This window comes from Homo sapiens, chromosome 11 (genome assembly GCF_000001405.40).
Source record: "Homo sapiens chromosome 11, GRCh38.p14 Primary Assembly".
Lineage (NCBI taxonomy): Eukaryota > Metazoa > Chordata > Mammalia > Primates > Hominidae > Homo > Homo sapiens.
The window spans coordinates 67,860,767-67,875,148 of NC_000011.10; the positions used below are offsets into that span (position 1 = coordinate 67,860,767).

Genomic DNA, 14,382 nt, shown 5'->3' on the forward strand with positions numbered 1-14,382 from the left:
GCAGGAGATACATTGCACTGCTTCAGCCTTTCTTCTATCGCTCCTCTCCAATGACAGTCCCCGATTTTCCACCGAGGAGTCACTAGTTCCCCACGACATGTGTGCGACTGGCCATTCCCCACCTTGATCTGGAGCTGGGGCATGTGGTCCCAGCCTGGATGTCAGTATCCTTCCACCACCCTGGCCACAGTGATTGGGTCTGAGAAGCAGATTAGCCAAAGGAGAAACAGTCTTGGAAATTTCATGTTCATGCTTAAGAAAGTAAAATGGAAAGCGGGGGGAGGGTCAGGGGTCATTCTGATGATATAGTTTTAGGACCTGGATGTAGCCACACCTGTAGCTGTCAACTCTGTGCCATAATACTGCTTTTTTTTTTTTTTCCTTCAAATTTAAATACTTTCTAAAGGCAAGGTCTTGCTATGTTGCTTAGGCTGGTTTTGAAAAGTCCCTTTTGGGGGGATGCTTTCACTGCTTCACTTCCTTTCTATGACAGCTCAGGGAATCAGAAGACAAGGGAGATGATTTTTTTTTTTTTTTTTTTTTTTTTGAGACAGGGCTTGCTCTGTTGCCCAGGCTGGAGTGCAGTGGTGCAATCACAGCTCGCCACAGCCTTGATCTTCTGGACTCAAGCGACCCTCCTGCTTCAGCCTCCTGAGTAGCTGGGACTGTAGGTGGGTACCAACATGCCCAGCTAATTAAATTTTTTTTTTTTTTTAGAAGTGAGATCTCACTATGTCACCCAGGCTGGCCTCAAACTCCTGGGCTCAAGTGATCGCCCTGCCTTAGCTTCCCAAACATACAGGTGTGAGCCCCCACACCAGTCAACGCTGTGGTTTTATGCACCTGGTGTCCCCCTATGCCCTGAGCAATGATCCTCCTGCTTCAACCTCCCAAAGTGCTGGGATAACAGATGTGAAGCAGCATGTGTGGCCCACATAGTATTGTTATGGGTTAAATTGAGTTCTCCTCAAAACATGTTGAAATCCTAAATTCTAACAGCTCAGAATGTGACCTTATTTAGAAATAGAGTTATTGCAGGCCAGGCGTGGTGGCTCATGCCTGCAATCCCAGCACTTTGGGAGGCCAAGGCGGGCGGATCACCTGAGGTCAGGAGTTTGAGACCAGCCTGACCAACATGGAGAAACCCCTTCTCTACTAAAAATTCAAAATTACCTGGGTGTGGTGGCACATACCTGTAATTCCAGCTACTCGGGAGGCTGAGGCAGGAGAATTGCTTGAACTCAGGAGACGGAGGTTGCATTGAGCTGAGATCGCGCTATTGCACTCCAGCCTGGGCAACAAGAGTGAAACTCCGTCTCAAAAAAAAGAAAGAAAGACAGAAAGAAAGAAAAGAAAGAAATAGGGTTATTGCAGATGCTATTGATTAGGATGAAGTCATCCTGGAGTAAGGAGGGCCTAAGTCAATGACTGGTGTCCTTATAAAAGAGGAGAGGACACGCCGAGTCACAGAGACACAGGGAAGAAGGCCATGGATTGGACGGAAGATTGGACTGATGCGTATGCAAACCAAGAAACACTGAAGACTGCCAGGAGACCACAGGAAGCTACGAAGAGGCAAGGCAGGACTCCCCGACAAGTGCAGGAGGGAGCGTGGCCCTGCTGGCACCTCCGTTTCAGACTGCTGGCTACCAGAGCCACAAGACAATCAATTTCTCTGGTTTCAAGTCACCCAGCTTTTGGTACTTGGTTGTGGCAGCCCTAGGGAATGAATATAAGCACTTTCTCTTTTTTTTTTTCTTTTTTTGAGATGGAGTCTCGCTCTGTTACCCAGGCTGGAGTGCAGTGGCGAGATCTCAGCTCACTGCAGGCTCCACCTCTTGGGTTCACGCCATTCTCCTGCCTCAGCCTCCTGAGTAGCTGGGACTACAGGCGCCCGCCACCACGCCCAGCTAATTTTTTGTATTTTTAATAGAGACAAGATTTCACCGTGTTAGCCAGGATGGTCTCCATCTCCTGACCTCATGATCCGCCTGCCTCAGCCTCCCAAAGTGCTGGGATTACAGGCATGAGCCACGACACCCGGCCGAATATAAGTACTTTTAAATTAACTTTCCTCTTCTCTCCATCTTCTTCTAAATCATCATTTTTGCCTAAGCAACAGCTAGGGTCTAATACAGATGTGATGACTCACTTCAAAGTGGGGGAAGCCCCCATGTGCACCCAAAGCTCCTGCTGCCTTGGCCATGGCTTCAGATACTGGACCATCATTGTGGAGGCTTGCTGGAGATCTGAGCCAGGACACCATTCTCTGTTGCCTTTAAACAAAGGCTGGTGCTCGCCCAGGCATGTAAGCTCCACCGAGGATCTATTTGGAGGACAGAATTCTGAGATGACCCCTTAGGTTCTTGCCCTGGATAAATGCCAGGTGTAATCTCCTCTCCCCTGGAGTGTAGGCAGGACCCGTGGCTTGCTTCTAATCTATATCTATGGAAAAGTTGAAGGGATTTTGCAGATGTAACTAAGCCCCTAATCCATTCACTTTGAGTTAATCAAAAGGGAGATTATTCAGGGTGGGCCTGACATCTTCAGGTGAGATCTTCAATGAAGGTCTGGAAGAGAGAGACTCCTTCCTCCTGGTTTTTGTTTTTTGTTTGTTTGTTTGTTTTTGACATGGAGTCTCACTCTGTTGCCCAGGCTGGAGTGCAGTGGCACGATCTCGGCTTACTGCAACCTCTGCCTCCTGGGTTCAAGTGATTCTACTGCCTCAGCCTCCCAAGTAGCTGGGATTACAGGTGTGCGCCATCATGCCCGGCTAAGTTATGTAGAGACGGGGTTTCACCATATTGGCCAGGCTGGTCTCGAACTCCTGACATCAGGTGATCCCCTGCCTCGGCCTCCGAAAGTGCTGGGATTACAGGCGTGAGCCACCATGCCTGGCTGGTTTTGAAGAAGCCAGCCACATGAGTTTCACAGTTGCATGGAAATAAATTCTGCCAACAACCATGTGAGGTTGGGAGAAGACCCCAAGCCTCATATGACACACTAATTCCAGCCGGCACCTTGATCACAACCTTGTAAGAACCTGAGCAGAGGACCCAGCTAAAGCTGCACCCCCAGACTCATGACCCACAGGAAAGGAGAGGTAATAGATGGATGTTTTAAGCTGCTAAATTTGTGTTGATTTGTTATGCAGCTTAGAAAATGAATACATCATTCCATTTTTAAAAAATCATAAGCTAATCACACCATTCGATTTCTTTCTTTTTTTTTTTTTTTTTTGAGACAGAGTCTACCCTATCACCCAGGCTGGAGTGCAATGGTGCAATCTTGGCTCACTGTAACCTCTGCCTCCCAGGTTCAAGTGATTCCCTTGCCTCAGCCCCCCAAGTAGCTGGGACTACAGGCAAGCACAACCACACCCAGCTAATTTTTATATTTTTAGTAGAGATGGAGTTTCACCATTTTGGCCAGGCTGGTCTCGAACTCCTGACCTCAAGTGACCTGCCTGCCTCAGCCTCCCAAAGTGCTGGGGTTACTGACATGAGCCACCGCACCCGGCCTGACACACCATTCAACTTTAAGGAACTTCCAGGTGCTGTGGTCACGCCCCTCTTGTGTGGCATGCAGGTGGGGAGAGATGGGTTGGAAGATGACTGGATGGGGGCATGGAGCTAGGTGGGAAGAGGAAAAGTGTCTTGAAGGAAGTAAGTCCCTTCAGATAAGGGAGGGAGAAGCTTGATCAATATGCAGACTTTCACAGTCCTTCAGTCCTGGGGATATTGGTGGAGAGACAGGTCTTGCCTTACATTTGAGAGTTACCATCCCAGGCAGAGGCCCTACTTCCACCTTCTTGCAGGTGGGGCTGGCGAGCAAATACTTAGAGGAGAAACGAACACCCTTTGTAAGAATGTGAAAAGTTTCTGGAGTGGAGAGATGATGAAGCAGGATATTTGGAGTCAACAGCCAAGGTTTTTATTTTATTTTTTATTTTTTATTATACTTTAAGTTTTAGGGTACATGTTCACAACGTGCAGGTTTGTTACATATGTATACATGTGCCATGTTGGTGTGCTGTACCCATTAACTCGTCATTTAACATTAGGTATATCTCTTAATGCTATTCCTCCCCCCTCCCCCAACCCCACAACAGACCCCAGTGTATGATGTTCCCCTTCCTGTGTCCATGTGTTCTCATTGTTTAATTCCTACCTATGAGTGAGAACATGCGGTGTTTGGTTTTTTGTTCTTGCAATAGTTTACTGAGAATGATGGTTTCCAGCTTCATCCATGTCCCTACAAAGGACGTAAACTCATCATTTTTTATGGTTGCATAGTATTCCATGGTGTATATGTGCCACATTTTCTTAATCCAGCCTATCGTTGTTGGACATTTGGCTTGGTTCCAAGCCTTTGCTATTGTGAATAGTGCCATTATAAACATACGTGTACATGTGTCTTTATAGCAGCATGATTTATAATCCTTTGGGTATATAGCCAGTAATGGGATGGCTGGGTCAAATGGTATTTCTAGTTCTAGATCCCTGAGGAATTGCCACACTGAATTCCACAATGGTTGAACTAGTTTACAGTCCCACCAACAGTGTAAAAATGTTCCTATTTCTCCACATCCTCTCCAGCACCTGTTTTTTCCTGATTTGTTAATGATCGCCATTCTAACTGGTGTGAGATGGTATCTCATTGTTGTTTTGACTTGCATTTCTCTGGCCAGGGATGATGAGCATTTTTTTCACGTGTCTCTTGGCTGCATAAATGTCTTCTTTTTAGAAGTGTCTGTTCATATCCTTTGCCCACTTTTTGATGGGATTGTTTGGTTTTTTCTTGTAAATTTATTGGAGCTCATTGTAGATTCTTGATATTAGCCCTTTGGCAGATGAGTAGATTGCAAAAATTTTCTCCCATTCTGTAGGTTGTCTGTTCACTCTGATGGTAGTTTCTTTTGCTGTGCAGAAGCTCTTGAGTTTAATTAGATCCCATTTGTTAATTTTGGCTTTTCTTGCCATTGCTTTTGGTGTTTTAGACTTGAAGTCCTTGCCCATGCCTATGTCCTGAATGGTATTGCTGAGGTTTTCTTCTAGGGTTTTTATGGTTTTAGGTCTAACATTTAAGTCTTTAATCCATCTTGGATTAATTTTTGTATAAGGTGTAAGGAAGGGATCCAGTTTCAGCTTTCTACATACGGCTAGCCAGTTTTCCCAGCACCATTTATTAAATATGGAATCCTTTCCCCATTGCTTGTTTTTCTCAGGTTTGTCAAAGATCAGATGGTTGTAGATATGTGGCATTATTTCTGAGGGCTCTGTTCTGTTCCATTGGTCTATATCTCTGTTATTGTACCAGTACCATGATATTTTGATTACTGTAGCCTTGCAGTATAGTTTGAAGTCAGGTAGCGTGATGCCGCTAGCTTTGTTCTTTTGGCTTAGGACTGACTTGGAAATGTGGGCTCTTTTTTGGTTCCATATGAACTTTAAAGCAGTTTTTTCCAATTCTGTGAAGAAAGTCATTTGTAACTTGATGGGGATGGCATTGAATCTATAAATTACCTTGGGCAGTATGGCCATTTTCACGATATTGATTCTTCCTACCCATGAGCATGGAATGTTCTTCCATTTGTTTGTATCCTCTTTTATTTCATTGAGCAGTGGTTTATAGTTCTCCTTGAAGAGGTCCTTCACATCCCTTGTAAGTTGGATTCCTAGGTATTTTATTCTCTTTGAAGCAATTGTGAATGGGAGTTCACTCATGATTTGCCTCTCTGTCTGTATTGGTGTATAAGAATGCTTGTGATTTTTGCACATTGATTTTGTATCCTGAGACTTTGCTGAAGTTGCCTATCAGCTTAAGGAGATTTTGGGCTGAGACAATGGGGTTTTCTAGATATACAATCATGTCATCTGCAAACAGAGACAATTTGACTTCCTCTTTTCTTAATTGAATACCCTTTATTTCCTTCTCCTGCCTGATTGCCCTGGCCAGAACTTCCAACACTATGTTGAATAGGAGTGGTGAGAGAGGGCATCCCTGTCTTGTGCCAGTTTTCAAAGGGAATGCTTCCAGTTTTTGCCCATTCAGTATGATATTGGCTGTGGGTTTGTCATACATAGCTCTTATTATTTTGAGATACGTCCCATCAATACTTAATTTATTGAGAGATTTTAACATGAAGGTTGTTGAATTTTGTCACAGGCCTTTTCTGCATCTAATGAGATAATCGTATGGTTTTTGTCATTGGTTCTGTTTATATGCTGGATTATGTTTACTGATTTGAATATGTTGAACCAATCTTGCATTCCAGGGAGGAAGCCCACTTGATCATGGTGGATAAGTTTTTGATGTGCTGCTGGATTCAGTTTGCCAGTATTTTATAGAGGATTTTTGCATCGATGTTCATCAAGGATATTTGTCTAAAATTCTATTTTTTGGTTGTGTCTCTGCCGGGCTTTGGTATCAAGATGATGCTGGCCTCATAAAATGAGTTAGGTAGGATTCCCTCTTTTTCTATTATTTGGAATAGTTTCAGAAGGAATGGTACCAGCTCCTCCTTGTACCTCTGGTAGAATTCGGCTGTGAATCCGTCTGGTCCTGGACTTTTTTTGGTTGGTAAGCTATTAATTATTGCCTCAATTTCAGAGCCTGTTATTGGTCTATTCAGAGATTCAACGTCTTCCTGGTTTAGCCTTGGGAGGGTGTACGTGTCGAGGAATTTATCCATTTCTTCTAGATTTTCTAGTTTATTTGCATAGAGGTGTTTATACTATTCTCTGATGGTAGTTTGTATTTTTCTGGGTTTGGTGGTGATATCCCCTTTATCAATTTTTATTGTGTCTATTTGATTCTTCTCTCTTTTCTTCTTTATTAGTCTTGCTAGTGGTCTATCAATTTTGTTGATCTTTTCAAAAAACCAGCTCCTGGATTCATGGATTTTTTGAAGGGATTTTTGTGTCTCTATTTCCTTCAGTTCTGCTCTGATCTTAGTTATTTCTTGCCTTCTGCTAGCTTTTGAATGTGTTTGCTCTTTGCTTCTCTAGTTCTTTTAATTGTGATGTTAGGGTATCAAATTTAGATCTTTCCTGTTTTCTCTTGTGGGCATTTAGTGCTATAAATTTCCCTCTACACACTGCTTTGAATGTGTCCGAGAGATTCTGGTATGTTGTGTGTTTGTTCTCGTTGGTTTCAAAGAACACCTTTATTTCTGCCTTCATTTCATTATGTACCTGTAGGGGTGGGTTGCCCCTCCACACCTGTGGGTGTTTCTCGTAAGGTGGAACGAGAGACTTAGGAAAGAAAAAGACACAGAGACAAAGTATAGAGAAAGAAATAAGGGGACCCGGGGAACCAGCGTTCAGCATATGGAGGATCCCGCCAGCCTCTGAGTTCCCTTAGTATTTATTGATCATCTGTGGGTGTTTCTCGAAGAGGGGGATGTGTCAGGGTCACAAGACAATTGTGGGGAGAGGGTCAGCAGACAAACACGTGAACAAAGGTCTTTGCATCATAGACAATGTAAAGGATTAAGTGCTGTGCTTTTAGATATGCATACACATAAACATCTCAATGCTTTACAAAGCAGTATTGCTGCCCGCAGGTCCCACCTCCAGCCCTAAGGCGGTTTTTCCCTATCTCAGTAGATGGAGCATACAATCGGGTTTTATACCGAGACATTCCATTGCCCAGGGACGGGCAGGAGACAGATGCCTTCCTCTTGTCTCAACTGCAAGAGGCATGCCTTCCTCTTATACTAATCCTCCTCAGCACAGACCCTTTACGGGTGTCGGGCTGGGGGACGGTCAGGTCTTTCCCTTCCCACGAGGCCATATTTCAGACTATCACATGGGGAGAAACCTTGGACAATACCTGGCTTTCCTAGGCAGAGGTCCCTGCGGCCTTCCGCAGTTTTTGTGTCCCTGGGTACTTGAGATTAGGGAGTGGTGATGACTCTTAACGAGCATGCTGCCTTCAAGCATCTGTTTAACAAAGCACATCTTGCACCGCCCTTAATCCATTTAACTCTGAGTTGACACAGCACATGTTTCAGAGAGCACGGGGTTGGGGGTAAGGTCACAGAATCTCAAGGCAGAAGAATTTTTCTTAGTACATAACAAAATGGAGTCTCCTATGTCTACTTCTTTCTACACAGACACAGTGACAATCTGATCTCTCTTGCTTTTCCCCACATGTACCCAGTAGTCATTCAGGAGCAGGTTGTTCAGTTTTCATGTAGTTGAGTAAAGTTTTGAGTGAGTTTCTTAATCCTGAGTTCTAGTTTGATTGCACTGTGGTCTGAGAGACAGTTTGTTATAATTTCTGTTGTTTTACATTTGCTGAAGAGTGCTTCACTTCCAAATATGTGGTCAATTTTGGAATAAGTGTGTTGTGGTGCTGAGAAGAATGTATATTCTGTTGATTTGGGGTGGAGAGTTCTGTAGATGTCTATTAGGTCCGCTTGGTGCAGAGCTGAGTTCAATTGCTGAATATCCTTGTTAACTTTCTGTCTTGTTGATCTGTCTAATGTTGACAGTGGGGTGTTAAAGTCTCCCATTATTATTGTGTGGGAGTCTAAGTCTCTTTGTAGGTCTCTAAGGACTTGCTTTTTGAATCTGGGTGCTCCTGTATTGGGTGCATATATATTTAGTATAGTTAGATCTTCTTGTTGAATTGATCCCTTTACCATTATGTAATGGCCTTCTTTGTCTCTTTTGATCTTTGTTGGTTTAAAGTCTGTTTTATCAGAGACTAGGATTGCAACACCTGCCTTTTTTTTTGTTTTCCATTTGCTTGGTAGATCTTCCTCCATCCCTTTATTTTGAGCCTATGTGTGTCTCTGCACATGAGGTGGGTTTCCTGAATACAGCACACTGATGGGTCTTGACTCTTTATCCAATTTGCCAGTCTGTCTTTTAATCAGAGAATTTAGCCCATTGACATTTAAGGTTCATATAGTTATGTGTGAATTTGATCCTGTCATTATGTTAGCTGGTTATTTTGCACATTAGTTGATGCAGTTTCTTCCTAGCCTTTATGGTCTTTACAATTTGGCATGTTCTTGCAGTGGCTGGTACTGATTGTTCCTTTCCATGTTTAGTGCTTCCTTCAGGAGCTCTTGTAGGGCACGCCTGGTGGTGACAAAATCTCTCAGCATTTGCTTGTCTGTAAAGTATTTTATTTCTCCTTCACTTATGAAGCTTAGTTTGGCTGGATTTGAAATTCTGAGTTGACAATTTTTTTCTTTAAGAATGTTGAATATTGGCCCCCACTCTCTTCTGGCTTGTAGAGTTTCTGCCAAGAGATCAGCTGTTAGTCTGATGGGCTTCCCTTTGTGGGTAACCTGAACTTTCTCTCTGGCTGCCCTTAACATTTTTTCCTTCATTTTAACTTTGGTGAATCTGACAATTATGTGTCTTGGAGTTGCTCTTCTTGAGGAGTATCTTTGTGGTGTTCTCTGTATTTCCTGAATTTGAATGTTGGCCTGCCTTGCTAGATTGGGGAAGTTCTCCTGCATAATATCCTGCAGAGTGTTTTCCAACTTGGTTCCATTCTCTCTGTCACTTTGAGGTACACCAATTAGACATAGATTTGGTCTTTTCACATAGTCCCATATTTCTTGGAGGCTTTGTTCATTTCTTTTTATTCCTTTTTCTCTAAACTTCTCTTCTTGCTTCATTTCATTGATTTCATCTTCCATCACTGATACCCTTTCTTCCAGTTGATCGAATCGGCTACTGAGGCTTGTGCATTTGTCACGTAGTTCTCGTGCCTTGGTTTTCAGCTCCATCAGGTCCTTTAAGGACTTCTCTGCATTGGTTATTCTAGTTAGCCATTCGTCTAATTTTTTTTCAAGGTTTTAACTTCTTTGCCATGGGTTCGAACTTCCTCCTTTAGCTCAGAGTAATTTAATCGTCTGAAGCCTTCTTCTCTCAACTCGTCAAAGTCATTTTCTGTCCAGCTTTGTTCCATTGCTGGTGAGGAGCTGCATTCCTTTGGAGGAGAGGCACTCTGATTTTTAGAGTTTCTAGTTTTTCTGCTCTGTTTTTTTCCCCATCTTTCTGGTTTTATCTACCTTTGGTCTTTGATAATGGTGACGTACAGATGGGGTTTTAGTGTGGATGCCTTTTCTGTTTGTTAGTTTTCCTTCTAAGAATCAGGACCCTCAGCTGCAGGTCTGTTGGAGTTTGCCTGGGTGTCAGCAGTGGAGGCTGCAGAACAGTGGATATTGGTGAGCAGCAAATGTTGCTGCCTGATTGTTCCTCTGGAAGTTTTGTCTCAGAGGAGTACCCGGCCATGTGAGGTGTCAGTCTGCCCCTACGGGGGGGTGCCTCCAGTTAGGCAACTCTGGGATCAGGGACCCACTTGAGGAGGCAGTCTGTCCATTCTCAGATCTCCAGCTGCATGCTGGGAGAACCACTACTCTCTTCAAAGCTGTCAGACAGGGATATTTAAGTCTGCAGAGGATTCTGCTGCCTTTTGTTTGCCAATGCCCTGCCCCCAGAGGTGGAGTCTACAGAGGCAGGCAGGCCTCCTTGAGCTGTGGTGGGCTCCACCCAGTTGGAGCTTCCCAGCTGCTTTGTTTACCTACTGAAGCCTAGGCAATGGCGGACGCCCCTCCCCCAGTCTTGCTGCCACCTTGCAGTTTGATCTCAGACTGCTGTGCTAGCAATGAGTGAGGCTCCATGGGTTTAGGACCCTCCAAGGCAGGCGCAGGATATAATCTCCTGGTGTGCCGTTTGCTAAGACCATTGGAAAAGTGCAGTATTAGGGTGGGAGTGACCCGATTTTCCAGGTGACATCTGTCACCCATTTCTTTAACTAGGGAAGGGAATTCTCTGACCCCTTGCACTTCCCTGGTGAGGCAATGCCTCGCCCTGCTTGGGCTCATGCTCAGTGCACTGCACCAAGTGTCCTGCACCCACTTTCTGACATTCCCCAGTGAGATGAACCCAGTACCTCAGTTGGAAATGCAGAAATCACCTGTCTTCTGCATCGCTCATGCCAGGAGTTGTAGACTGGAGCTGTTCCTATTCGGCCATCTTGGCTCCACCCCCACTATTATGATTCTTACACAGAGTCCTTTGCTTTCCAGCAGCCTCCTCTTCCTCCTTTTTAGGTTGGAATCCCTCTATTTTAGTGGCCACTGGGATTCTGATATGACCAGGTCTTTGTCTCAGAGACCTCACACATGCTCTTCCCTCTGCCTGGAACACTTTTCCTTGCTCTGGTCCCCTGAGATCTCTTTCAGCTCAACTGCCCCATGCTCAGAGACCCCCTTTCTCCCTCTCTAGTTTGAAGCCAGTTTACCCCTGTAGTCTGTGCCTGGAAAACTCCTTTTCCTCCTTGATGCCTCCTGAATTGTCACAGGATGTATGTGCCTGTTTGGGTGTCTGGTGTCTGTCTCCCCAACTGGACTGCATGCTCCTGGTGAGCTGGAGGGACTGGACTAGCACAGGCCAAGGCCCTGGGGCTGGATGGAGCAGGGCAGAAGGCACAGGCAAAAGGCCTTTGTGATCCAGAAGGAAGTGAAGGAGAGGGAGAGAGATGAGAGAGGCTGGCAGAAGATGGGCCAGGGGCCAGGCTGTGTGGAATCTTTTGGGCCACAGAAAGACATTTGAATTCTTATGTAAGAGAACCAGGACACCATTGGAAGGTATGAGTCACCTCATCTAACTGAGCTCTGTAAATGTCAATGTTTTATTATTTTTATACAATTATTTAAAAGTGATTTTAGTTATTTACCTTTTTATTTTTATTACTTTTATTTTTTTTGAGACAAAATCTTGCTCTGTTGCCCAAACTGGAGTGCAATGTCATGATCTCAGCTCACTTCAACTTCCACCTCCTGGGTTCAAGTGATTCTCCTGTATCAGACTCCCGAGTAGCTGTCATTGTAGGCATCTGCCACCACGCCCAGCTTATTTTTGTATTTTTAGGATAGATGATGTTTCACCATGTTGGCCAAGCTGGTCTTGAACTCCTGACCTCAGGTGATCCACCTGCCTCAGCCACCCAAAGTGCTGGGATTACAGGGGTGAGTCACCATGCTTGGCCTTATTTACTTTTTTAAAAAAGATCAGGCCAGTCACGGTAGCTCATGTCTCCAATCTCAGCACTTTGAGAGGGTGAGGTGGGATGATCACTTGAGGCCAGGAGTTCAAAACCAGCCCAGGCAACATAGTGAGACACCCCCTGCCCCAATTTCTAAGAAAATGAGAAAATTAGGCATGGTAGCTTGTCTGTATCCCCAGCTACTGGCGAGCCTGAGCTAGGCAGGACTGCTTGACACCAGGAGTTTGAGGCTCCACTGAGCTGTGATTATGCCACTGAGCTACAGCCTGGGCAACAGAGTGAGACCCCGGAGCCACCTCAGCCTCCCTAGAGCTGAAAGAGTTTTTGCTTCTTATCACAGGGAATGACAGACGCTGGGGCTTTGATGGGTATCGGGTGAAACAGGCAGAGTGACGCTTACCTGGCATGGCAGTGAAGTGGAACGGGGAGGTCATTGTGACAAGGGGCGGCATGAGGTACTTGGCCTTGACGCCCTCCCCGGCCAGATGGTCCATGTTGGGGGTGTCCACATCCTGATCCTAGTCCCAGCGGAAGCCCTGGAAGGAGATCAGCAGCAGTTGTGAGTGCTCTTCTTCCCTGGGAGGGGGTGGCCGCCCAGCAGGACAGGCGATGGCAGCAGCAGCTGGAGGGCACCGAACCATGTCATCCCACGAGCACCTGTCATGCACTCCTCACAGAGTTCATGGGCTTCGCCCTCTTTAGTCCGTTGTTGAACAAAGTCCACATTAATAATGCAGCCCAGCTCTGTTGTGGGATAAACAACCTGGAGTGTAGCAAGGTGCTACATATTTGCAGGACAGTATGAAAGCGTTCTGGAGATGGATGGAGGACATGGCCGTACAACATGGTGGATGCACTTAACACCATTGAATTTTTCCTTTGAAAATGGCTAAAATAATAGATTTTGTATGTATTTTACCACAATAAAAAATCAAACTGGCCGGGCATGGTGGCTTACACCTGTAATCCCAGCACTTTGGGAGGCCAAGGCGGGTAGATCATTTGAGGTCAGGAGTTCAAGACCAGCCTGGCCAACATGGAGAAACCCCACCTCTACTAAAAATGCAAAAATTAGCCAGGCGTGGCGGTACATGTCTGTAATCCCAGCTACTCGGGAGGCTGAGGCAGGAGAATTGCTTGAACCCGGGAGGCGGAGGTTGCAGTGAGCCGAGATTGTGCCACTGCATTCCAACCTGGACGATGGAAAGAGACTGCATCTCCAAAAAAAAAAAAAAAAAATCAAACCACATGAAATATTTTGGACACTTATACTAATTCCAACATTTTGAAGATCTGGGGAGAACAAACTAGATTGGTGCTTTCCTTGGCTTAGTATGTTCTGTTTTTATAGGGAGAGCAAATTATTGTTCACCAGCACTATTAAAATAGCTACAACAGGATGGGCATGGGGGCTCACACCTGTAATCCCAGCACTTTGGGAAGCTGAGGTGGGAGGATCGCTTGAGCCCAGGAGTTCAAGATGCCAGCCTGGGCAACATGGTGAGACCCTGTCACTACCAAAAATACAACAACAACAACAAAAATAGCTAGCTGTGGTTGCGTGCATCTGTAGTCCCAGCTACTTGAGAGGCTGAGGTGGGAGGATCACTTGTGCCCAGGAGGTTGAGGCTGCAGTAAGCCACGATTATGCCACTGTACTCAGCCTGGGTGACAGAGTGAGACCCTGTATGGAAAAAAAAATAAAAAGCTGCAGTGGACTCAGTGATCATGAGGCCAGGCACTGTATACATATACATCATCTAATTTTTTCTCTTGTTTAAAATTATTCTTTCCTCTAATCCCCATGTTGATCGACATTTTTTTTAATCCTAGGAATTAGTTGAAAATTTTGCATAAGAATTAAAAATTGCCTGGCCTGATGGCTTACACCTGTTATCCCAGCACTTTGGGAGGCTGAGATGAGAGAATCACTTGAAGCCAGGAATTTGGGCCAGTCTGGGCAATATAGCGAGAATGCAACTCTAAAAAAATTTAAAAAGCTGGGTGTGGTAGGGTTCACCTGTAGTCCCAGCTACTTGGAAGACTAGGTGGGAGGATTGCTTGAGCCCAGGCGGTAAAGGCAGCAGTGAGCTATGATTTTGCCATTGCACTGCAGCCTGGGTGATGGAGTGAAACTCTATCTCTAAAATAAATGAATAAAATTGTGGTATAATATATGCAACATTTACCATTTTGTGTATCTGAAAGTGTACAATTCAGTGATATTTTGTACATTTATCATGTTGTGCAATTATCACCACTACCTAGTTTCAGGGCTTTTTCAACACCTCAATTGGAAGCCTCATATCCATTCAGCAGTCACTCTGCATACCCCCTCCTGCA

At 44.9% G+C, this 14,382-nt stretch overlaps 1 protein-coding gene and 1 pseudogene across 1 annotated transcript in view, besides 2 other annotated features; both read right to left on the reverse strand.

Moving 5' to 3' along the window:
- Window positions 1-12,605, reverse strand: part of ENPP7P7 (ectonucleotide pyrophosphatase/phosphodiesterase 7 pseudogene 7) — a 60,830-nt pseudogene extending 48,225 nt beyond the window's left edge.
- The window catches only part of LOC112268076 (translation initiation factor IF-2-like), a 154,152-nt gene that overhangs the window by 48,758 nt on the left and 91,012 nt on the right, over window positions 1-14,382 (reverse strand). The gene's annotated exons all lie outside the window — the stretch shown is intronic.
- Window positions 12,014-12,515: an enhancer, noted in NCBI's record as "H3K4me1 hESC enhancer chr11:67640251-67640752 (GRCh37/hg19 assembly coordinates)". NCBI's record gives its function as "activates a minimal SCP1, AML or CMV promoter by ChIP-STARR-seq in primed H9 embryonic stem cells {active_cell/tissue: H9 hESC(primed)}" and the evidence as "EXISTENCE:reporter gene assay evidence [ECO:0000049][PMID:30033119]".
- Window positions 12,516-13,015: an enhancer, noted in NCBI's record as "H3K4me1 hESC enhancer chr11:67640753-67641252 (GRCh37/hg19 assembly coordinates)". NCBI's record gives its function as "activates a minimal SCP1, AML or CMV promoter by ChIP-STARR-seq in primed H9 embryonic stem cells {active_cell/tissue: H9 hESC(primed)}" and the evidence as "EXISTENCE:reporter gene assay evidence [ECO:0000049][PMID:30033119]".